Raw genomic sequence first — 25,494 nt, 5'->3', positions numbered from 1 at the left:
TGTCCCCAGAGACAGAACAGAGCTCACCTGGATAGGTACCATAGGCATCAAGCCTATGCTGCAGGAACGGAGAGCAATCCCAAGACTATCTACTGTATGTAACCGTCATAGCACAGCTTTCACTTTTTGATGTTTTTAATCATTCGATATAAAAACACGTTACTCTTCCTGCTCTGCAGTGAGGACTTGCGATGCTAATCTATACTTGCGATGCTCATCTATACTTGCGATGCTATTTATTTGATACACAGCAGTCATCACTAGAACCCAAGTTGACTGATGATACCACGTCAAGCATTCTTTTCTTTGACCACATTGCCCCCAACATGGTTTGCTCAAATAAACCAGTTTAGACTACATGCTTACTTTTCTCATAGAAGCAACAAGACTTGAAGCATCCTCACCTGACTAGCAAGAGAGAGTATAAATGCCCAGTCTTCTTGCCACTGTTCTTCTCTCAAGGAAAAATGTAAACCAAAGCTCTGAGAATACCATGATTCCCAATCTTTCCAGCGTGTGTAAAACCTAAAAAAGCAGGATAGTAAAAAAATAAATAAATAGTCTTCTATAAATAAAACATTTAAAGTTCTGATCATTTTTATTTAATGCAGTCTTTAAGCAGTCTGTGAAACAATTAATAATTTTATTTTGTCTGGTTGGTAATGTATTTTTCTAATGAAAAATGCCTCCCTCTTCCACTAGCAGATACCTTGTAACATCCTTTAACATCTTTAGTCAGAATTTGATTTACCGACAACCAAATTTTCAAACTTCAAACGCTAATGATGAGACTGGTTATTTTCCACTGTCCACAATTAGTTTACAAAAAAAAAAAAAAAAAGTCATCTGAAATGTTGTATACAAAGACACTACATTTCTCTATCAATGTATAGTACACCACCTACTTGATCACTTGTATAAACAACAGGTGGGAAATATTCCGTGTGTTCATAGTATCAAGATCATCTCCCTGAGATTTCTTTCCATAAATAATTTCTCTGATGATCACCTAATAATTCAAAAGCAACCAAAAAGAAACCCACTGCAATGACAGAAAACATTCCTTCTTTATGCTTAACACTGAATTACTGAAAACACATCGATTCTTTGTCTATCAAATATAAAAATTCAGAAATAATTATGCTCAAAATTATGGTTCACTGTCTTATAAAAACAAGCCAACTAAGACCTCTAAAATGCAGACAGACATTTAATCTGTTTATAACATCACATTTATCTTCTATACATCTGAATTCTAGGTAAAAGAAACAAAAGACCAATCTGTTCCTGTTGTTAAAAAGTTTCAGCATATTAAAGTTAAACGTGAACACGTGTGGTAACTCACACCTGTAATTCTAGCACTTTGGGAAGCTGAAGGAGGAGGATTGCCTGAGGTCCAGAATTCAAAACAACCTGGCCAACATAGTGAGACCCCGGCTATATTGCGGGGGGAAAAAAAAAGTTAAATGGGTGGTGTCACAAGTAACTTTACAGTAATTTAATGAAGGGCTCCTTAGAGAGTAAATATATTTCCTAAAGAAATTAAAATATAATGTTCCAGAGGTTTAACTCAGTTTAAAACATTTTTCATACTCCACGTAACTGAGGATGTTTAATCATAATTCCAAATGTTTTAAAATTAAAATATGTATATTCTTTTATAATCGCTAAGATAAATGTGTCTTGAAAATTTTGGCAACAGTGATGAAATACATTGTTTTGAAAAGTTCAAGGAGAAATATCAGAGAAATTGTCAATACTGAAAGTTATATGCAGTTAGAAATTTCTTGGTGCCTAAAATAACTTTATAAATAAGACAGCTAAGCCAGCCAGAAATTCAATGGTGATTGCACTCAAAACTCTTCAAAGACCACTGAAGAAGGGAGGTTCAATGAAATATACTTTAAAACTAAACATGTTAAAATGTTCATCCTCACCACCCCAAGACCTAAACTCTGATACTACCAGAGTCTCCATAAGAACAGACAAGCAAACCAAATCCAGCAATATATGACCAAATGGTACAGGAATACCAGTTTGGTTTAACATTCAAAACTCAATTCCATGTTCATGGATTGGAAGGCTCAATATTGTCAAGCTGGCAATACCACCATCACCCCAATTAAATCTACAGATTCAATGCAATCCCAATCATAATCCCAGCTGTCTTTTTTACAAAAATCGATAAAGCTGTATCCTAAAATGTATATGGAAATCCAAAGGACTCAAAATAGTCAAAACAATGTTGAAAAAGAAATACAAAGTCAAATGACTTACAGTCCAGATTTCAAAATGTATTACAAAGATATGATCATCCAGACAGTCTGGTAATGACATAACGATAGCCCAGTGGAAAAATAAATCAATAGAAAAATATTAAGAGTCCAGAAACAAACCCTTACTTTTATGGTCAACTAATTTTCGACAAAATTGCCAAGGCAATAGAATGTAGAAAGGGTTTTTTTCAATTAAAGGTACCGAAACAACTGGGTATCCACATGCAAAAAGGTGAATTTAGGACATCTCACACTTTAAACAAAAATGACCTCAAAATGTAAAACAAAAATGACCTAAATGTAAAAGTTAAAACTATAAAATTCTTCTATGAAAACACAGGAGTAAATCTTCGTGACCTTGGGCTAGACAAAAATCTCTTCAGATACAACAGCAAAAGCATGAGCAATAACAGAAAAACATTGATAAACTGAACTTGATCAAATTAAAGACTCGTGATTTCAAAAGACACTGCTAATGAAGTGAAAAGACAAGCCACAGAATAGAAAAAAATATCTGCAAAGCAGATATCCAATAAGGGACCTGATACAAACAACATCTGCAAATCAATATTAAGACAATCCATTTAAAAATGAGCAAAAGACGTGGAAAGATATTAAACCAAAGACGCTATAGGAATGAGCAATAAGCACATGAAAAGACACTCAGTATCATCATTAAATAGGGAAATGCAAATCAAAATCACAAGGAGCCCATGTGCCTGCAATCCCAGCTAACTGGGAGGCTGAGGCTAGAAGATCACCTGAGCCCAGGAGTTCAAGACCTAGAACATTTTTCGTTGCTATCAGCAATGTATGAAGATTCCAATTTCTTCAAATTCTCAACAACACTGTTATCATTTGTCTTTTTGGTTATGGCCATTTATGTGCATGTGAAGTAGTATCTCATTGTGTTTTTCTTTGTTTTCAGACAGGGTCTCATTATGTTGCCCAGGCTGGTCTTGAACTCCTGAGCTCAAGCAATCCTCCAGCCTCAGCTTCCCAAGGCGCTGGAATTATTGGCCTGAACCACCAGGCCCGGCCGATAATTCTTCATAACAAAAACAGTCACTTTAGGAGGCCGAGGTGGGAGTCTGAGACCAGCCTGGGCAACATAGCGAAACCCCGTCTCTACAAAAAAATACAAAAAAAAAAAAAAAAAAAAAATTAGCTGGGAATGTTGGCATGTGCCTGTAGTCCCAGCTACTTGGGAGGCTGAGGTGGGAGAATTGCTTGAGCCCACAAGGTATAAGGTTACAGTGAGCCAAGATCGCACCACTGCACTCCAGTCCAGGCAACAGACCAAGACCCTGTCTCCAAAAAGAAAAAAAGGAATAATTCTAAAAGACTTATATTGATTTTTTTCCCCAATTAACATTAAACGCCTCCACCTGCCCCGTGGGAAATTGGGTTGGCATGTCACTGAAAGGCAAGTACAATATATTCAGACTTGAGAACCTGAGTCAGCTAAAATCACGGGTATCCAAGAGAACAGCACAGCTAGCTACAAACACAAATAGCCTATCTTGAAGTGACGGGTGGAGGGGTTCAAATAAAAGAAAATTGCTTTCTCAGTTCTTACTATGTATCTTATATGACTTAAGAAAACATCTCACTCCAGCTGATTTCAATTAAGTGCAAAAGGCACCTCAGCAAAGAGCATCTTTAAAAGGAGACTACACAAGCTACATGCTGGCTCCTCCTCTCCTGGCCTAGAAAACCCACGGCTGCTCACTCTACTCTCTACTGGTCACATGACAGGCCCAGTGGACAAACCTAATGCAACTCAACACAAGAACTATGTATGGGTTATTCCTTAGGGCTAGTATATCTGATCTCCCGAATCCATGGCAACAACACTTACTATCTAACCACTAATTTTCACCCCAACCCACCCCCCAATACTGTAAGGATGTCTGTGTGATCACTGTAATCAATGCAGCTTCCTATGCCTGAACTGTAAACCATCGGGCAAAGCTCCCCGGTGGCAGGGACTGGAGGAGGTGATGCCAAACCATGCTGTTCTGGGACACCTGTCCATATGCCAGCCCTAGGTGCTCACTCCTGAAGCATCCTTTAAGAGTCAGGACTATGGACTAAAAGTTCTGCTGCAACAACTCTTGCCAGTGGCTGTAAACAAACAGCCTAGTTCCTTCTCACCCTAGTAGCCACTCCCTATCTAGCCTATTTACAACATCAGACTGTATTTCTCCACCAAACCATCTTTTTTTTTTTTTTTTTTTTTTTTTCTTAGCAGGGTCTCACTCTGTCACCTAGGCTGGAGTGCAGTGGCATGATCTTGGCTCAGTGCAGCCTCAACCTTCCAGGCTCAAACAATCCTTCCACCTCAGCCTCCCAGGTAGCTGGAACTACAGGCACACACTACCACGCCTGGCTAAATTTTGTATTTTTTGGTGGAGACAGGGTTTCACTATGTTGCCAAGGCTTGTCTTGAACTCCTAGGCTCAAGAGATCTGCCCACAATCTCCCTATCTCTATGCTGGACTTCTGGGACCTCAAATGACTTGCAACCATCTGAGAATTCCAGTCCCGATACAAACATTAGTGACAACTCACTCATAAGATCATCCATAGCCAGCTCTGAGGAACAGGTGGGCATAAACCCCAAAGCAATTCTTACTCACCACAAATGTCTTTTTAAAAAAAGAAAAAAAAAAAAAAAAAGGCCAGGTGCAGTAGTAGCTCATGCCTGTAATCTCAGCACTTTGGGAGGCTAAGGCAGAAGAAACACTCGAGTCCGGGAGTTCAAGACCAGCCTGGGCAATACAGTGAGGACCTCATCTCTACAGAAAAATTTTAAAATTAGCCACGTGTGGTGGCACACTCCTACAGTCCCAGCCACTCATAGGAAGCTGAGGTGGGAGGATCACCTGAGCCCAAGAAAGTGAAGGATGCAGTGAGCCAAGATCGTGCCCCTGCATTTCAGCCTGGGTGACAGAGCAAGACCCTTTCTCAAAAAACAAACACCACCACCAAAAACCCTCATCACTAAAAAAAAGACATCACTTCTAAAATCCACAGTGTACTTTTGGCCTTTCAACAGATCAGGAAATTACCACCAAAGAAAAGGCCAGGCGCGGTGGCTCACGCCTGTAATCCTAGCACTTTGGGAGGTCGAGGTGGGCGGACTGCCTGAGCTCAGGAGTTCGAGACCAGCCTGGGCAACATGGTGAAACCCCATCTCTACTAAAAATACAAAAAATTAGCCAGGTATGGTGGCGCCACCTGTAATCCCAGCTACTTCGAAGGCTGAGGCACGAGAATTGCTTGAACCCGGGAGGCAGAGGTTGCAGTGAGCCGAGATCATGCCACTGCACTCCAGCCTGGGCGACAGAGTAAGACTCTGCCTCAAAAAAAAAAAAAAAAAAAAAAAAGGAAATTACCACCAAAGAAAAGATTACTGGCTGCCTTTTTAGAGAGAACCTGCAAAGTGGTAGATTTACCACAGTTCAAACCTGGCTTTCCATCTTACAGGGCAGAGTGACATTAACCAAAACTACAAGGCAGACCTGTGAAACCACAATGCCAAGAACCCACTGTCTTAGGAACCAAACCAGGTTCATCCTCTTGACATAGACAGGCCCATAGCAGTGGTCAAGAAAATCAGCAGTAGGAAGCTAAGAAAATCAGCAACAGGAAGCTGCTTGGTGACCACAGGATCTGATCAAGAGGGCCAGACCGGCAGAGCACTGACCAGCATCAGGCTTACCCAGCCCGATGAACCTACTTCATACTACCAGACAGCCATCTCCACTAAGAGGCACAAAAGAGCCCTCTCTCCAGGACAATTACTAATTGACTAAAACTACCGGAGTGACACATTCATTCTTTAGCTTTATTATACATCCAGTCAGGTCATCCAGGAAGTTATTTTATTTCTCTAATGTGCCCACAAATTGTTACTCTATTACGTTATGCTTCCCCCTCCGCTCCCCACAAGACAGTCTCACTCTGTCACCCAGGCTGGAGTGCTGTGGCACGATCTTGGCTCGCTGCAACCTCCTCTTCCTCCTGGATTTAAGCAATTCTCGTGCCTCAGCTTCCTGAATAGCTGGGATTATAGGCATGCACCACCACACCTGGCTAATTTTTGTATTTTTAGTAGAGACAGGGTTTCAACAAGTTGGCCAGGCTGGTCTTGAACTCCTGGCCTCAAATGATCTGCCTGCCTCAGCCTCCCAAAGCAATAGGATTGCAGGCATGAGCCACAAACCCCAGCCATACTGCATTATGCTTTGATCTACAATTTAGCTCTCAAGAAAGTAATTTATAGGCCGGGCACGGTGGCTCATGCCTGTAATAACTAAATGAGATAATGTTCAAAGAACCAAAAAAATACCACATAAGTCAAACAAATGTAAAGACTGAACTATTCATTCACAAAAACAATTATTTTTCCAGTGATTGCATGCTGTTAAAAAATATATATATAAAGAACACTTTGATACAATTGAAGAAATGTGATTATGAACTGTTAGATAACAGAATCAATGTTGAATTACTTAGATGTAGGAATGGGGATGTGGGTGAGTAGGACAATATTCTTATTCTGGAAAGATGTATGTTGATATTTTGAAGGGTAAAGCATCATGATGTCTACAACGAATTGACCCACGAGTCTTTCTGTATGGAGACATGGAGCAGGTGTGGCAAAATGTTAATAACTGCTCAACTGAATGAAGAAAATACCAGGATCTATTGCACTGAATTTTTTTAAAATTATTCCATGGGTTTGAAAATTTGCAAAATAAAAAATGTGATCTTAAGACTCCCTCAGGAAGGAAAAAAACTTGTAACACAATGTCAAGATAACCTCTTATGTGAACACAAATATTCAATAAGGCTGGGTGCGGCAGCTCAGGCCTGTCATCCAAGCACTTTGGGGGCCCCAGGCAGGCGGATCGCTTGAGATCAGGATTATCAAAGCCACCCTGGGAAAGATGGCAAAACTCCATCTCTACCAAAAATACATAAAACAGCCAGGCATGGTGATGAGCACCTGTAGTTCTAGCTACTCAGGAGGCTGAGGTGGATGGATGGCTTGAGCCCAGGAGGTGGAGGATGCAGTGGGCCAAGACTGCACCACTGCACTCCAGCACAGCAATTGAGCCAGACCCTGCTTCCATCGATGGATCAATCAATCAATCAGTCAATCAATCCCTAAAAAGATGAGCAACGGCCTTATCAATATTTAAGGCTACTATATATAACTTGAAATGCTGCATTTGAAATGTTCAAATATACTGCCTGTGTCTTATAGAAACAATAAATGCTTGCATTTTAAAGCTTCAAATGTTTCTATTTTAAAATTTAGCAAAAAAATGTATAAAAACCATTGATTCTTGCTTTTATCTCATTTCTTGGGGGAAAAACAAAAACAGAAACCATGGACGTGTTCAAAGTATTTTAATGTCCAAAATGAACTGTTTTTCCTCCAGTTTCCATAGAAAATATAACTGACATAAAAAGTATCCCACCACTACAAGGAAATAATCCAGCAAATGCACTCCTGGGTTGAAACAGGGCAGAATGCCAGCTCACCAATGTGAACAGTCATGCAGGCTGTCATGCAGGGCTTTCCGAAGCACTGAGTCCTTGTCATAGATGCCCCAGGTAGCTTGTAGAACTGAATCAAGTAGGCAGTCTCCTGCAGTCCGGTTCCAAAGTGCATACAGTCGACTGTCCAAACGTGTAGCCAATTCCAAGGACCAGTTAATAATTGGAGATTCTTCTTCTAATTCTGTACGATGGATTTAAATACATGTTCATTTCCATACCTATGTCATTAGAGAATACTCATGGGGAGAAGAACCTATTTTCTAGCTATAAAATGGTTTATATGTAATTTACCAATAAACACCTAAATAAAATTGACCAATTGAAATATAAACTTTTGAGTACTTGAAACATCTTCTGTCTCTAGAATAATTTAATAAACTTTTAAATTCTTTACAGTTTTATTTTCTAAAAAGTGTTTCATATAGAAATATATACATTCTGGAACAGGAAGCGGAGAACCAAGGTTTTAAAATTTTTGTATCTTTATTTGTTCACTCTGTAACAGTGAACCATACAATATAACACTGAACTTCAGGACTTTACGTCTTTAATTTAAAATAAAAATAAAGCAAGTTGACTACACACCAAACTACACCATGCCTTACTAAACAAAACTTACTTGATCAGATGAAAGGTAAATTATACTCATTAATTCCATGCTTACCTTTTTGAACGTCTCTATCAAGCACCTCATCAAATAATTTTTCTTGGACTGTTGGGGGCAAATCTTCAATATCTACAAAGAAAATGCAAACTTAAAAGATCTTTTGTTTCATAACTTACACTTAACTTATACTTAATTACACTTATTAATTACCTACTAGTAACTTTCTCTAAAATAACTCCCTTTCCATTGAAGGTTATCAGATAGCTTTTTCTTAATATACCAGTGTAACATGTGTGATATAAAATATTTCTTTTCTGGGCCGGGTGCAATGGCTCACGCCTATAATTCCAGCACTTTGGGAGGCTGAGGCCAGCATACTGCTTGAACTCAGGATTCTGAGCCCAGCCTGGGCAACACGGCAAAACCCTGTCTCTATACAAAAAATATACAAAAATTAATCAGACAAGGCAGCAGACACCTGTGTCCCAGCTACTCAGGAGGCTACGGTGAGAGAACTGTTTGAGCCTGGGGAGGCCAAGGCTGCAATGAGCCGTGATCCTGCCACCGCACTCCAGCCTAGGCGATAGAGTAAGACCCTGTCTCAAAAAATAAAAATAAAAAATAAATTTTTAAAAATCTAATCATTCTGGGGTAAGCTTAAATACTCAGAACAAGTGCATTTCAAATGAAACTTCCTCCAGTTTCAGAAAACTTAGTTACTATCTCCTACAATTTGTAAAAATCCGTTTGTCTGAACATAAAAATTAAAAACACTGAGATCTAGCCTGAGTAATACTGCGAGACTCCATCTCTACAAAAAAATTAAAAATTAGCCAGGGGTGGGTGGCATGTGCCTATAGTCCTAGCTACTCAGGAGGTCAAGGCAGGAGATCACTTGAGCCCAGAAGTTGAAGGCGCAGTAAGCTATGATCACGCCCATTGCACTCTAGCCTGGGCAACAGAGCAAGACCCCGTTTCAATCTAAAAAAAAAAAAAACAGCAACAAAACAAACAGATCTCAGAATCTCAGATGAAAGATTTTAGAAACGTTTGGTGTTTGGTGTATTTATTCAATGCCAACTGACAAAACGCATTCTGGAGGATGTTTTCAACTGTCAATGAATTGAAAAATGAAAAGTTCCTTCACAAACATAGTAGAAATAAATGAGTAAAAAAGGAATGACATATTCAAGAGGATGCAGTGTGTTCAATTCAAATAACCTGACTCTACCCATCAAAAGCTCATGTTCTAATCCCATCTCTTAATACCAGGTAACCAATATAGCTATCTAATTTCAAATAACACACAAGCATGAAAAGGGAAAATTTTTCAAAGGAGATTTTTTTAAAGGATATTCTAAAATAAAACCAAAGAGAAAAATAAAAGAGTACAACAGATTTTTAAAAAATAATCTGAGGTCCACAAAGAAATCCGTTACTATCAACTGCTGTCTTCCTCTCAGATAGCAGACGCATTTCCTAACAAGTAATCCTCTGTATGCTCACTTCCAGCATATATAAGACAGTCAAGTAATTTAAGATGCACATACAGTAGCTATGTTATGTGCTTTCTAACAGAAACATTTTTCACCTACATACACAAATGTAACTATAATAAAATAAAAAAGTCTTTTTACGTTAGATTTTGGAGTTACCTGCTGGCAATGTAAATGTTACAAGGTCAGTCAGAAAATAGCAAGCAAAATCCCCCTTTCTCTGATGAAGAGAGGCAGCTATCTCTCTCCGGATTTGTTCTGTCAGTTCAGGACACACCATTGCTGGAATACACTTTGCTGCTTGTTGAGACACCTTAAATACAAAAGAAACCTTCCTCTCATCTCATGTATCATAAGTGGAAGCAGAAAACAACAGTATTTAAAAGAAATCAGCAAAATTTCCCAATAACTCAAGGTTTTCTTTAATCTTAAAATACACTGGTATTATTTCCTTACCAATGAAAGTATATACCAGAATAAGTTTTCAGTAACAGTCACAAAAATGTTTTATCCTCTGATTCAGTAATTCTCTTTAAGAATTTATCACAAGGAAATACTCAAAGATGCACATAAAAATGTATGGAAAAGGGTGTTGTTCATAGACACATCACAGGAAGAGGAGAGAGGACAGAAAACCTCAGTAGACTAACCATCGTGCACACAATAAAAACATTCTTTAGAAGCAGAGAATCACAGCTGATAAAGGGAAACTGCAAATACTCTTCTCCCACACCACAAGTTTCAAGTACCCTAACTTGGACTTAAAAAAAGCACGGTATTTAAAGGGTTAGTTCCCACTGACCTCAAGCCCTTTCTTCCTCTCCATTTGTTACCACTCTTGAGTTTTTAAAAAAGCATTTGGCATCTGCAAGTTTAAACACAGACTGCCAACCTCTGAAGCTCAGCCTGACAGGAGTGAGATGGGAGCACTACTGCACAGGCCTCTAAGCAAGAAAACAACAAACCAAAGAAGGCTAGAACTTTCTTTTGTTATTTTTTTATTCTTTTTAAAATGCTAAATAGCAACAAATGTTGCAAAGATTTAATTTAACCTCACATTTCAGTCATATCTAGTTTGTGGAGCTAAATAAAAATACATACACAGAATTCTAAAATCACAGTTGAGCATCTGCGAGTAACAAACAGAATTCAAGGCCAGGCACAATGGCTCACGCCTGTGATCCCACCAACTCTGGGAGGCCGAGGCGGGTGGATTGCTTCGGCTCAGCAGTTTGAGACCAGCCTGGCCAACATGATGAAACCCTGTCTCTACTAAAAATACTACTACAAAAATTAGCTGTAGTCTCAGCTATTTGGAAGGCTGAGGCATGAGAATCACTTGAACCCGGGAGGAGGAAGTTGAAATGAGCTGAGAACGCGCCACTGCACTCCAGCCAGGGTGACAGAGAGAGACTCTGCCAAAAAAAAAAAAAAAAAAAAAAAACCCCAAAGAGAATACCGTGGGAACCCACAGTGAGCCTGTTCCCTGATGTCACCAACCTGGACGATTATCCCAAAGGTAGCCTTCCAGCCACAGTGGGGTGTGAAGCAACAGGTCTTCCAGCCCCTTCTTCTTCTTCTCAAAGAGTAAGGTTTAATGATAATGTTATCTACATCATATATGCAGACAACTAACTGCTATTGCTATTAAAGAAATAATATTTCAAAAACCCTGCATACCCAGCACAGTTACCTGACTCCCTATTCTGAAACTGCAGCTTGGTGCAGTGGCTCACACCTGTAATCCCAGCACTGTGTGAGGCCAAGGCAGGAGGATCATTTGAGCTCAGGAATTCAAGACCAGCCTGGGCAACATAATGAAACTCTGCCTCTACAAAAAACCCCAAAATATTAGCTAGGCATTAGTGGCATGCACCAGTAGTCCCAGCTACTGGGGAGGCTGAAAGGTGAGAGGATCACTTGAGCCAGGGAGGTCAAGGCTGCAGTGAGCCATGATCACTCCCCTGGGCAACAGAGAGAAAGTCTGTCTCAAAAGAAAAGAAAAAAATAAAAAATTTAAAAACTCCTACGTGGAAATTCAGTTCAACTAGACTTTATTGGCCAAGATTACCATTAACCATGAAAATTCTCACTATATCTTAACTCCATGAGCCCAACCATTAGTCAACACTCAAACATGGAAAACCAAATATTAAATATTTTCAGAATATAATTGACTATTTCTCAAGTAACATAGTTAAAATGGCTCCCCCAAAGTAAATTCAAAAATAGCTTATTCCCATCAGCTAGCTCTCAGGCCCTTTCCAAAAACCTGGAAAGACCTTTCCAAAAACCACCTGGACTGGACCCTGACTACCACAAACATTCTAAAAGAAACTTAGCCCCCAAACAACCCCTTCCACCACCATCCTTAAGCAGGATGTGCCCCTGAAGCCTGCCACTCACCTTCTCACCTCCTTCAACCTTATGGTTCTCAACCATCTCCGTAGGCTGGGAGTTCTTAACTTAGGGTCCATGATCTTGGGAATGGTCCATGTACTTTAATGGGAATTTGGTTTTAATTCAAGTTAAATCAATTATCCCCAACTTTTTACCTATATTAAAATGTATTTTCTTATATATCACAAATTTAGTTTAGTATTTTGGTAGCTATTACTTCAATACAACTGATTTCCTTTGTAATCTCATTTACTTCTTATTTTTTGTATTTAAAAACAGTATTCTGGGAAGGAGTCCATAAGTTTCATGAAACTACCAACATGGTCCATGACACAGAAACCGATGAAAATTCCTGCCCCACATACATATCCCCAACTCTAATGTTCTCCTGTTCTCATTCCAAAAGAACTTGGCTGAGCATTCTCTGCAACACACCCCCTTAGTCTAGACTTAGTCCAGACTCCCCCACTTCCAGTCTCCCTACTGGCCCCTTTAATTCTGTCCTTTGGAGTATTTACTCCATGGAGACTGAATCCATGACCAATTTTGCTCTTTGCCTGGAACAAATCCCCTCCACCTCTCCCACGCTGTTCCAGGGTTGTTCTACACGTCCCACGGAATACAGCAAAAGTAATGGTATGTTGCTTCCTAAATCAATTTATAAAAGACACTGCAGGTTTCAAAGACACTGGATCACTCTCTTGTACTCTGTGCCTCTCTTGGATCACTTGTTGGGGGTAAAACCAGCTGCTGTATCATGAGCATCCCTGTAGACAGGCCTGCATGGCACAGTATTGAAGCCTCCTGCCAAAAGCCACCTGAGTGGGCTTAGGAACAGATACTCTAGCCCCAGTTGAGTCTTTTGACAACTACAGCCCTGGACCACTTGACTGCAACCTCATGACATCATGAGCCAAAACTATTCAGCTAAGCAGCTCCTGGATTCTAACCCTCACAAACTCTGTGAGATAACATACATTTGTTGTCTTAGCTGCTAAGTTTCCAGACAATCTGTGATACTGCAATAAATATACTGATGTTCGATCATCATCCCACTGTTACTCCTCAGACTGTCTCAGGAGCTCAATGACTCACAATGGCCCCTCTAAAACCTTGTAATAATCTTCTACCTACCTTTAGGGGAGCCCCTTAAGACTTTCACCCTAGTTCACAACCACCTTCTTTATCCTGGCTCCTGTCACCACCAGCAACTACAACTCCACATTGACAGCCCTTCCAATATACAATAGACAACACAACTAGGCACCACAACACAAATGCAGCCAGGCCTTCGACACTAGAAAAACTCCAATTCTTCTATCTCATGTTCCAAAACCTGGATCCCTCTATCTGAAAAGTTCCCTTCTCCCTTATACTCAATAAGCCTGCCCTTTTGTTTTCATCATGGCCTTCAGTCTCTCAAGCCCCCCACCCCGGCTTCACTGGAATCTTACCAAACTGGACACAGGGGTTAGCTACTACAATCATGTTTCCATCTAACCTTCAAATTTTTTAATCCCCATACAGTGCCCTGCAGTGGTTCCCAAATATTGGCAAATTTGAATAAACAAATATGCAAAAGTATATATGAAAGATGTATACTGACAAAATTTGAATCCACAATTAATATGACTCTCTGCACTTTTACTCTATTTCTCTTACCATTAAAAAATGTTACCTTGGCCAGACACGGTGGCTCATGCCTATAATCCCAGCACTTTGGGGGGCCGAGGCGGGCAGATCACTTGAGGTCAGGAGTTCAAGACCAGCCTAGCCAACATGGTGAAACCCCACCTTTCTAAAAATACAAAATTAGCCAGGCATGGTGGCATGTGCCTACAATCCCAGTTACTTAGGAGGCTGACAAAGGAGACTCGCTTGAACCCAGGAGGCAGAGGCTGCAGTAAGCCAAGATCGTGCCACTATACTACAGCCTGGGCAACAGAGTGAGACTCCAGCTTAAAAAAAAAAAGAAAGAAAAAAAAAACCTGGATAATGTAGTCACATTCTGAATAATTCATACACAATCTCTATCATTGGTAGCATGTACCTAGTTATGTAAGCCAGAAACTGAAGAATCAACTTACATCCACACTGTATCTTCCCATATCCAATCAGTCTACTTCTTCAGACTGAGGGCCTGTCTCAGTCTCTCCAACCCTCTAACCCTCTTCCCATTTCTAAGGCTACCCTTCTGGGTACCCTTCTATGGCTACCCTTCTGCCCTTCTGGCAGAAGTTCTTGCCAGCACCTCTGCAACTCCCTCCTAACCAGGCTCACCCCTCTCCAGTGTGCAGCAGCCAAAACACAATCTGCTCTGCTCACTCCCCTGCGCCCATACCTAACACCATCCAGTGCCTAGGGATAATCTTCAAATTCCTTGACACAGAAGATCCTTCGTAATCCAGCCTCTGCTTATCTTTCAGACTTCCCTTCTCTCCATTCCCAATCACCATCTCAGCCATGCTTAGTTACCTGCAAGTCCCTAGATTCACCACAAATTCCACCATCTCTGCCCCCTGTAAAAATGCTTTCCTCAACTTCCCTTCTCTCCCTTATCCACTTCATGTGGCTAACTCCTAACTCTTTCTCTTCAAATTGCAGCAAAAACATTACCTGCTATAAGAAAGACGACAAGACACCTCAAAACTCTTCAAGTACTGGCATAACACTTGGCATTTACATCTACCAGGGCACAGGCTGCACAGAATTACCTGTTCATTTCTCTACTTTGCTGGAGATTTAATGAAGAAAGAGCCAGTATCTTTACAATTGTATCCCTTCTCAGCCTAGTGCATGGCACACAGTAAATGCACAATAAATATCTGTTAATTGAATGACTAAAGAATGACAGATACATCCCAGGTTTGTATGAACCAAACATGATGAGTCAAACATTGTTGTGACTATTCAAATATTTGAAAGCATATACCCTTAAAAATTAAGTCTCTTAAGTTTAATGTTATTTTTAAAAGGGGGTAAAAGAATTCAAAACATTTTAAAGCTGCTTAGAGAAACATTATAAAATCAAAAATGAAAACTAAAGAACAGGTTTCTTTAATATAAAAGAACATTTAACCAAAACGCCAAACTTACCTCTGTAAGCAATATTGCTAGCATATCCTGCCTCTGAAAACGTATAGCCAAGTGTACAAGAGTATAGCCAACATCAAAGGCAGAAGGACGATTCAGCAAGCGTACTTCATCTGCGGTGAGCTGACGTGCAATGTCTCCTCCTGATGACTTGTATGCTTCTATGGCAGCTAAATCACCTTCTACAACCCCTAAAACAAGCATCAAGATAGAAAAGCATTTAATTCTCATTTTCTTCAAAAAACACAAACCGTAGCAATCACTCCAAAATCTTTTAAGTGTTTCTCTGTGCTTCCTGGATCCTGATGCATCATTTAAATGTCCTATAAGAGTAAGGAAAATAAGTTTTTTCCTTTCCCTTTAAAAATTTTCCTTCCAGAACTAGAACTGCCTAGACATTTACCTTACCATCAGTGCAGGCTCCAGGCTCTGGTGAGATTTAGAGGAACTATTAGGCTGCATGAATTGGATCGAAGATCAATAATCTAGTATGAGAAACCAGACGTAACAAGAGACACTGAGCCCCTGGTTCCGGTCCTGCGTTCATCCTGACTCTGCAGAAACCAAGGAGACAGGGATGTGCTTCCAGCTGGTGTTGAGCTCCTCCTGCCCTTTACACTGCATTCTTAAAGCAGAATCAAAACAAATGCTGAGCTTTCCATACTGCTCTTTAGCTTTGAAACAACTTAGAGCAACTGAAACCATCTTCAGTGTAAGTAAACGTTGGCAACATTTTGATTTCAGATTCTCATAGCCAAGTCTTCCTTATATCCATTAAGAATTATTAATAACGTAAAAATTGGACCAGATGATTTCATATAAAATACGCTAAAATAAAACATTACAATCCAGTTAGAGTAGGGGGGAAACAGAAATATCACTTCTGCCAAATCTATAAAGAACATTCCATTACCACTGAACCATTTTATTAATCTTAACACAAATTAATGTTAGGTAAACACAGTAATACTGTCTACTAAGCAGTCTGGTAAAGTATGGGTATCAGCCTGGGCAAAGAAACAGTAGATTAGCTTCCAATTTACCACAAAAAGTGTTTAAAACAATTTTTAAAAAATTATTTATGGGACCAAATACTTTTAAGTGTTTCCTAAATTACATCAAGACAAATGTGTTTGCTGGACAGAACACTAATACTAGGTAAAAAAATATTCTTAGTGTACTTTTAAAAGAGTATTTTAATTGCCATCTTGAACTAGGAATTAGATCAGACATATTCCTTAGAATATAACAGATTGATAAAATGCAACAATTTTCTACCATTAGTAAAGATAACAAGGCTTCAAAATAATTCCCACATTTACTGAATCCTCATCATATACAGGAACGCCTTGCCAGGCAATATGAGAAGTACAAAGACAGTGAAAACATGACTCCAATATTCAAAACAGTCCTTTCTGCAAATTTCGATCCTCTCCTCAAAAAAATGACCCCCTGCCCCGAACACAGACATATACATTCTTCAGGTTGAAAACCCATTATATTAAGAATGCCTTCTTACAGGAATTCTTATTTTCACAGCAATGTAGCTTGATAAATTCCTCACCATGCATATACAAGTTCAGCTACAAATGCCCCACCTCCACCCACCTTACACATCCTTCTGAGGAACAGTGTACCCTAGAGAAGTCAAAGCTAAAGCTTAATCAAGGATGGCATGAGATAAAGGCTATAAATCTTCCCAAAGGGGCAAGCCTTTCAAATAGACCAGAAAGTGCTACTTGAACTAAAAACAACTCTATGATCGAAGAGTTTTCTGTTTCCAATTATTATGTTCAAATACAGAAAGAACTCTGAAACTTCTGCTTAAATTATTTAATGAACAATTAAGTATAGTCTGGTAGGGCCCATAACTTTTAAGATAATTCAATGCAGTTTTATTTTATTTAGGACTGACCATGCCCACACCATCTCCTTTCACTTCATAGCATTTCTGTATGAAGGCAACGACCTTTCCCTTCAGACCTATCAAAGCCCTTGACTATTCTCAGGTATACATAGCATCAAGGCACCTTTTATAGTCTTTAGTTCTAATCTAAAAATATTATCTACTTACAAATTTTTTCGTATTACATAAAAAATGTTCCAAACACTTCCAAAAACAACCCAAGAGTCTGATCAATTTAGCTGAAAAAGCAAAGAGGAAGATCTGTACAATTTATGTGTATATACGTGTATGCATGTATGTAGGTGTTTTGTACTATATGTGTTCATGTTTATTTCTTATTTCTCAAAGACAGAGATGAGGTAATCTAAAGCTAAGCACCAAATAACTTCCTTCTTTTGCTTGGAAGAAGGGGAGATCTTCAAATCGCTTTATTGTTTTTAGCTAACTCACCATATAGCTGAAGTCTAGAAGAATCTCATCTTAGAAATTCTTAAGATTTCCTCTCTAATGTCTCTGAGAGATTTCTGTAATTAGAAGTTAATGAGCACTGGGGGGTGGGGTGCAGACTACATAGCACAACAAAATCAGCAGACTGTACTTTGGAACTATAATGTACAATAATATCACCAATTCTGCTTTCATTAAGTGCTTTTTAAAAATATAACCAGAACTTACAATGTTGAAATGCATGGTATGTGAAATTATGTCTCAATAAAGCCGATATACACAAACACAACTAGGATTTCTATTTGACCTAATACAAAATTATCAAAAACACTTAATTAGTCCCTCCTACTCCATGCTCTGCATTAAACTACAAACGGGCATACTGCCCATTCCCCAGCATGGCAGACATACAGAAGATGAGGAGAACAGACTATTCTCAGTTTTTGACAGCACGAAATTCTCCAAACTTCCCAGAGCATGAAAAACACACATCACTTAAATATAGGTAAAAAATAATATCTAAAAGAAAATTATTTTATTATCTAGTGTTTGGGGAATACGTAATTTCATTCTTTTCATTAAGAATTGCACATTTTCAGCTACAAAGATTAGTAAATTACAAATCAAATTTCATGAAAATGTCACTGAACTGTCCCAATTTTTGCTACGTCTTTATTGCACACTGCTCAAAGAGAACTTCTGAAAGTTTAGACATTACTTCATAGACACGTTTTTGTTGTAGACGTGGTTGGTTCAACAGGATTTGGCCCATACGCATATAATTTAAAGTTTTAGCCACCGCATGTTTTCTACTTAAAGTGAAGTGCAGGGAAAAAGCATCATAATACATGCCCAAAAAAAAAAAAAAAAAAAAAAACAAACAAAAAAAAAAAACCTTACAATATCTGAGTTCTTCACATAATTACACTTTGAGCACCTTTTAATGTCAGGGGATAAAAAGAACGTAAGAATAAGGTAGAAGAGTTGGTAGACAGGGAAAGACAAATAAATGCAAGTGTTAAAATCTCACTTTATGGGAGAAAGGCCAGGAAAAAATGAAAAGTTCCAAGAGAAGATAATCAACATATACATGTTTTCTAGGTTACTGACATCTCACAATGCCTCCAAGAGTAACTGAAGCATTTTTTTTTTTTTTTTTTTTTTTTGAGACAGAGTCTTGCTCTGTCACCCAGGCTGGAATGCAGTGACGCGATCTTAGCTCACTGCAACCTCCACCTTCCGAGTTCAAGCAATTCTCCTGTCTCAGCCTCCTGAGCAGCTGGGACTACTGGCGCACACCACCACACCTAGCTAATTTTTGTATTTTTAGTAGAGACGGGGTTTCACCATATTGATCAGGTTGATCTCGAACTCCTGACCTCAGGTGATCCACCCACCTCGGCCTCCCAAAGTGCTGGGATTACAGGCGTGAGCCACCACGCCCAGCCAAAGCATCTTTCTCTTAGTACTTTTTTTGAAAATTTAACAAACGTGTATTATGCCTTCTGTCCCTTTCTCCTTCATGAAGACAAATAAAAGGACAGCTGAAGCCACTCTGGGACGATTAATTTTATAAAACTAATCTGTAGTATCACCATACATTCAAAATTGAATGAAATGCACAATTAGCCTAATAGTGAAACATAATTACAGATAAAGTGTTAATACACTTCTTAAAACATGAAGGCCTAAGAATGAAAGCCACTATATTATATATTACTAGCTAAACCGTTAAAAAAAATAAAAAGCAAACATATATTATTCCGTAAGCTGGGCCAGGAGTACAGTTTACGTATTTTGAAGCCACAGGTCAATGACTCACTGGGGACTTCACAGCTACTATGGAACTCCACTGGTTAGAATTTAGAGCTGGCTCATAGATATTTAGAAAACAGACTTATTTTTTCCCCCATATATGGCACAGTTTTCAAAGTTTTGCCTTATTTTCCTTTATGACATAAAATTATAATGGTTATTAACTTTGAAAAGAATGCCAAATGGTAAAAAAAAAGCCAGGACTTACCTGAGCCCACATGGGCCAGCCCAACACTACCCTGGAGTTCTATGGTAGCTGTGACATCACAGCATGGTTTATGCTGTGGGGTCAGGGTGGACCTGGAGTCGGCTGGCACAATTTCAGGAACCCTTAAAGAGAAAAGTTAGTTTTAAGTGGTAATGTTCAGAATGTCCTTTACCATGGTCAGAGAAAGATGCAGATGTGGTTTTCCTCTAGCCAGAGTTTAACTCATTTAACCGGTTTTCATATTAAAAGGAAACTATACCACCCAGTAATACTTTTTTATATCATAAGCATTTGGCTATAGTTTAATCCTGAACCTGGAGATATTCACAGCAAACTCTTTCAAAACTAATGAGCTGTTTTTTAAATAAAATGACTTCAATATTTTTTAAAGTGTACCTTCAAGTAGGCAAAAGCACAGGAACAATCTCAGAAATAATTTGAGCAGGCCAAAACACCTCCTGGTTGTATTTTCCACATAATAATAGCAACAAGTTAAGATCCACTATTTCTATTCCTAGTAACAGTGCTACAAAACAACAGCCTATTCAAAAAATCAGATGAAAATCAAAATTATAAACAAATTCTTAAATTTAATCTATAACATATCAAGACTAGCTTCTATTCAACAATCTCACTGTCCATTACTAAAACATCCTCTTTAGAAAAATAAAAGATTCAATGAGAGAAGGAAGTCAAATAGTCACTAATTAAAGCTTTCTAAATTATCTGTAAGTTGTGACAAACTATGTCAAATATAGTCTATACTACTGAGCTCTTTTCTCCTTACATCTTTGATCAGAGTGTTAACAACCCACTCTTGTGAAAATATAAGTCCCCAAAGTCATGAAAAAATACCTAACCTAACAGATAACTTCGTAAGAAAGAAGATCCTGCCAAGCAGGAAGAATTGCTGCTGAAAGCAACATGGCAGGACTTAAAGGAAACATGCCACAAAGTTATCTTTGGGACAAGTGATCAGAGATGGGGACAAATGTTAACAGGGCTGAAACAGATGAACATGAGTTCACATCATGAGTCACTTAAAACATTACTGAAAATATTCAACTGAAAGGAAATTACGGTTCTTAAAAATCTTAGGTTCCAGCTGGGCTCAGTGGCTCACGCCTGTAATCCTAGCACTTTGGGAGGCCGAGGTGGGTGGAACACCTGAGGTCAGGAGTTCAAGACCAGTCTGGCCAACATGGTGAAACCCTGTCTCTACTCAAAATACAAAAAAAAATTAGCCGGGCGTGGGGGCGTGCGCCTGTCATCTCAGCTACTCGGGAGGCTGAGGCAGGAGAATCGCTTGAACCCAGGTGGCGGAGGTTGCAGTGAGCCGAGATTGCGCCACTGCACTCCAGCCTGGACAACAAAGAGCGAAACTCTGTCTAAAAAAAAAAAACAAAAAACAAAACAAAAACTCTTAGGTTCCAAAAGTAGATTTTGAAACTCATAAAATAGTGTATGCCAAAACCACATTCACCACTGAAATCACATCCAAAGGTTTTTCTGACTTCAAAATAAAAATTTCAATTGCCACACTGCCAAGTTACCCTGGCTGAATTTGAAACTAAATTTTAGATTTTTATAATTACACTATATCTCAGGTAGGCCGAGAGAAACTGAATAGTCTAGCCCACCTTTTTTTTACTAGAGGGTAAATGAACATTTTAAAAGTGGAAATGGGAGGCTGGGTGCAGTGGTTCACACCTATAATCTCAGCACTTTGGGAGGCCAAGGCAGGAGAATCGCTTAGAGCCCAGGATTTCAAGACCAGCCTGGGCAAGATGGTAAGATCTCATCTTTACAAAAATTTTTTAAAATTAGTCAGGCATAGTGACGCATGCCTGTAGTCCCAGCTACTTGTGAGGATCACCTGAGCCCAGGAATTCGAGGCTGCAATGAGCTATGATCACGCCATTGCACTCCAACCTGGGTAACAGAGTGAGACCCTGTCTCTGTTTAAAAAACGAAGCAGGGGCAAGGAAGAAAGGATAAAAGGAAAAACTTTCATAATTTATTATAACTTTATACTGTTCATATTATATACATTTAATTCTTCTAGACAAAAGTAGACAGAATTAAGACAGAAAATCATCAAATTGGAAGAAATGTTCAAAAGTAACCCAGTCAATCTTACTAAGGTCTCCAATTAGAAACACTAAACAAGAAAGCTCCTATAATTTGCCACTGAAAAAGAAAGTTCATGGCTTCTGTAGACACTCACAGCCCCACAAGCATCCATCCCCAAAAGTTTCAGACCCCATGTATCCAATAATCCATCAGGCATCCTCACCACAAAACCTCTTAAAAAACCTAAACTTTCCCTCTCCTATGTCCAGGAAAAATGATACTGTTAGCCAACCCAGATGTCCAAACCAAAAATCTGGCTTTCTAAACTCCTCCTCATCTCAGCCCAGTATCAATTCTTCCAAGTTTTGCCAATTCTACTTCAGTCTTTTTCAAATAAATCTCCCTTTCCCCATCTCCACTGACTCTACCCCAGCTATACCTGGCTATACCTAAGTTGCTATCATTTACTCTACTGGTCTGCCATCTCAAGTGTTGCTCCCTCTACACTAGGGTGAGTGTGGTCTTCTTAAACTACAAATTTAATTACGGCATTCCCTTTTCAAAAGTTGACCACTAGGCTGGGCGCAGTGGCTCACACCTGTAATCTGAGCACTTTGGAAGCCCAAGGAGGGCAGACTGCTTGAGCTCAGCAGTTCAAGACCAGCCTGGGAGAAACCCAATCTCCACAAAAAATTTAAAGAATAAGCCAGGCGTGCTGGCATGCACCTGTAGTCCCAGCTACTTGGGAGACTGAGGTGAGAGGATCCCTTGAGCCCAAGAAGGTTGAGGCTGCAGTGAGCCGTGATCATGTCACTGCACTCCACCCAGCCTGGGTGACAAAGTGAGATCTCATCTCAGGGGGAAAAAAAAAAAAAGTTTACCACTGCCCTCAGGTTAACAGCTAAATTCCTTAACCAGGTTAAGGAATTAACCTATTTAACCAGGTTAAATAGTCCCAATATTCCCTACAGGTTCTCTCTCACAGTCCTCATTCTACACTCCAACCAACTGACTTCTCTCGGGTTATTTGACATGCCTTGGTCTCTCCACCCTGGATTTTTAACACATAAAATTCTCACTAATAGAAACACTATTCCTTCTTCTCTTTCAAGTTTCAGCTTAGATGTCACCAAAAGTCCTCTCCAAATCTCCTAATGAGATTAGGTTCTATGCTCCTTCTAGGACCCTGTACTTCCTCTGCTGAGCTATCCTGGCTTGCTAAATTCTATTTGCCCTATAAACTCTTTGAGAGACATGACTTCTTTCAAAGTGCTTGGGAGCACACTCAGGGAGTACCTGAATGCATGAATGAATGAACAAAGAAAAGGTAAAAGCTAAGACAATTTTTCAAAGTAACTGAGGCCAGGTGCCAAGGCTCGCCGCTGTAATCCCAGCAATTTGGGGAGGCCGAGGCCAAAAATGATTTTATGTTGCCCAGACTGGGACTGGAGATGTGTATTTTTCATATAGATTTCATGTAACTTGATAAAATCACCAAAGAAAGTGAACGAAAGTGAACAAAAGACATGAATCAACAACTCACAGAAAAAAATACAAATGATTAATAAAATGAGACAGCATGCCATTCTTAACAACAAACATCAGCAAAGACAGCTCCACAGGGACTCCCAAACTGTTGCTAATAAAGAACAGGTTAATTTAAGGTGCAGCAATTCAATGTCATATTACACATTCATTTTTAAAAGGTAACATGTTGATTCAAAATATAAAGTTCAATGAAAAAGGATATACAATATAATCTCAACTATGTAAAAGTAAATAAATGCAAAAAAAAAGACTGAAAATACACAAAAAATCTGACAGACTTCCTCTAGGCAGTGAGATTACAAACTATTTTTATTTTTTCATAGCTTTTCTTATCTCTGAAATAGTCTACAATGCATATAGTCTGCTTTTCTTTGAGATGGAGCCTTGCTCTGTCGCTTAGACTAGAATGCAATGACTGATCATAGCTCCCTGCAGCATCAAACTCTTGCCTCAAGCAATCCTCCCACCTCAGCCTCACATACCTGGGACTACAGGCACCCTGCCACCACACCCAGCTAAGTTTTTTATTTTTAATAGAGAAGAGGTCCCGCTACGTTGCACATGCTAGTCGCAAGTTGTCTGCCTTTATTATTCAAAAATGAACTAAACTATCAAAGATCGTTACAAGAAGTCAGTACAAATGTCTAAATTTGGTGAAAAAGAAATAATATATTTTCATCAACTGAGGAAAGGATAAACAAAATGTGGTATACACATACAATGAAATATTATTCAGTCTCAAAAAGGAAGGAAATTCTGGCTAGGCGCAGTGGCTCACGCCTGTAATCCCAACACTTTGGGAGGCCGAGGCAGGTGGATCACTTGAGGCCAGGAGTTCGAGACCAGCCTGGCCAACATGGTGAAACCCCCGACTCTATTAAAAATACAAAAATTAGACACACATGGTGGCACACACGCCTATAGTCCCAGCTACTTGGGAGGCTGAAGCAGGAGAATCCCTTGAACCTGGGAGGCAGAGGGTGCAGCAAGCGCAGATTGCACCACAGCACTCCAGCCTGGGCAACAGAGCGAAACTTCCTCTCGAAAAAAAAAAAAGGAAGGAAATTCTGACCCAGATCACAACACAGATGAACCTTAAAGACATTATACTAAGTGAAATAAGCAAAAGGACAGATACTGTATGATTCCATTCATGAGGTTATTACGACAGTCAAATTGATTGACAGGAAGTAGAATGACAGTTGTCAGGGGCTGGAGGAAGGGGGAATGGAGCTATTTAATGGATACAGAGTTTCAGTTTTCCAAGATGTAAAAAAGCTCTAGAGAGAATGGTAGAAATGGTTACACAACAATAAGAATGTACCCAATGCTAATAATATACACTTAATGAGTAAAATGGTATAAATTTTATCTTACGTATATTTTACCTCAAAATAAATTGCAAAAAAAAGGAACAATGATACAAGGACATTATTCAGAGGTATCGGAGGTGCTGCCTCAAATAATATCACCTATATAGTATTCCTCCCTCCTCTAAAAAAGATAAATGTTTAAACTGAATCTAATCATAAGGAAATCCACAAATCTAAATTGAAGATCATTCTGCAAAAGTGGAATCTTCAAAAATGTCAATCATGAAATAAAAAAAAAAAAACAGGTGCTGTTCTAGATTAGAGAAGACTGAAGAGACAAAACTACACACAATGTATAATCCTTAACTGAACAAGGTGGGGCAACAGCAATTACTGAAACTATTGGTGAAACTAAATATAGACTTTCAGTATTAAATTTCTTGGATAATTATACTGTGTGGTTGTGTAGGAAAAAATGTCCTTGTTCTTAGGAAACACATGCTGAAATATTTAGGGGTAAAGTGTCATGATGTCTTCAGCTAACTCTCAAACAGTTCAGAGAATACACACGAGAAAGACATACAGAGACACCAAATACAGCAAAGAACTGGAAAATCTAGGTCAAAGGCATGTGGTGTTCAATATATTACACTTGTAACCTTTATACAGGTTTTGAAATTTCTCATTATAAAATAATGACAGGGGCCAGGCATGGTGGTTCATGCCTGTAATCCA

General features: G+C 39.2%; 1 protein-coding gene across 6 annotated transcripts in view, besides 2 other annotated features; it reads right to left on the bottom strand.

Moving 5' to 3' along the window:
• The window catches only part of ZRANB1 (zinc finger RANBP2-type containing 1), a 71,296-nt gene that overhangs the window by 5,956 nt on the left and 39,846 nt on the right, over positions 1–25,494 (bottom strand). For 5 of the 6 annotated variants that reach the window (XM_006717907.3, XM_047425383.1, XM_047425384.1 and 2 more), the window contains 5 exons: positions 15,453–15,640; positions 10,116–10,269; positions 8,518–8,589; positions 7,836–8,034; positions 405–525 (listed from right to left, as the gene is read on the bottom strand). In XM_006717907.3, coding sequence (XP_006717970.1) covers positions 405–525; positions 7,836–8,034; positions 8,518–8,589; positions 10,116–10,269; positions 15,453–15,640 — 734 coding nt within the window. Of the gene's footprint in view, positions 1–404; positions 526–905; positions 1,010–7,835; positions 8,035–8,517; positions 8,590–10,115; positions 10,270–15,452; positions 15,641–25,494 lie in introns of those variants that run through there. The other variant, XR_007061968.1, reaches the window with a different exon arrangement.
• Positions 11,313–11,412: an enhancer, noted in NCBI's record as "active region_4189". NCBI's record gives its function as "activates an Ori minimal core promoter by ATAC-STARR-seq in GM12878 lymphoblastoid cells {active_cell/tissue: GM12878}" and the evidence as "EXISTENCE:reporter gene assay evidence [ECO:0000049][PMID:35858748]".
• Positions 11,503–11,682: an enhancer, noted in NCBI's record as "active region_4188". NCBI's record gives its function as "activates an Ori minimal core promoter by ATAC-STARR-seq in GM12878 lymphoblastoid cells {active_cell/tissue: GM12878}" and the evidence as "EXISTENCE:reporter gene assay evidence [ECO:0000049][PMID:35858748]".

Source organism: Homo sapiens, chromosome 10 (genome assembly GCF_000001405.40).
Source record: "Homo sapiens chromosome 10, GRCh38.p14 Primary Assembly".
NCBI classification, from domain to species: Eukaryota; Metazoa; Chordata; class Mammalia; order Primates; family Hominidae; genus Homo; species Homo sapiens.
The sequence above is the reverse complement of the archived record's forward strand: the minus strand, read 5'-3'. Positions and strand labels throughout refer to the sequence as shown.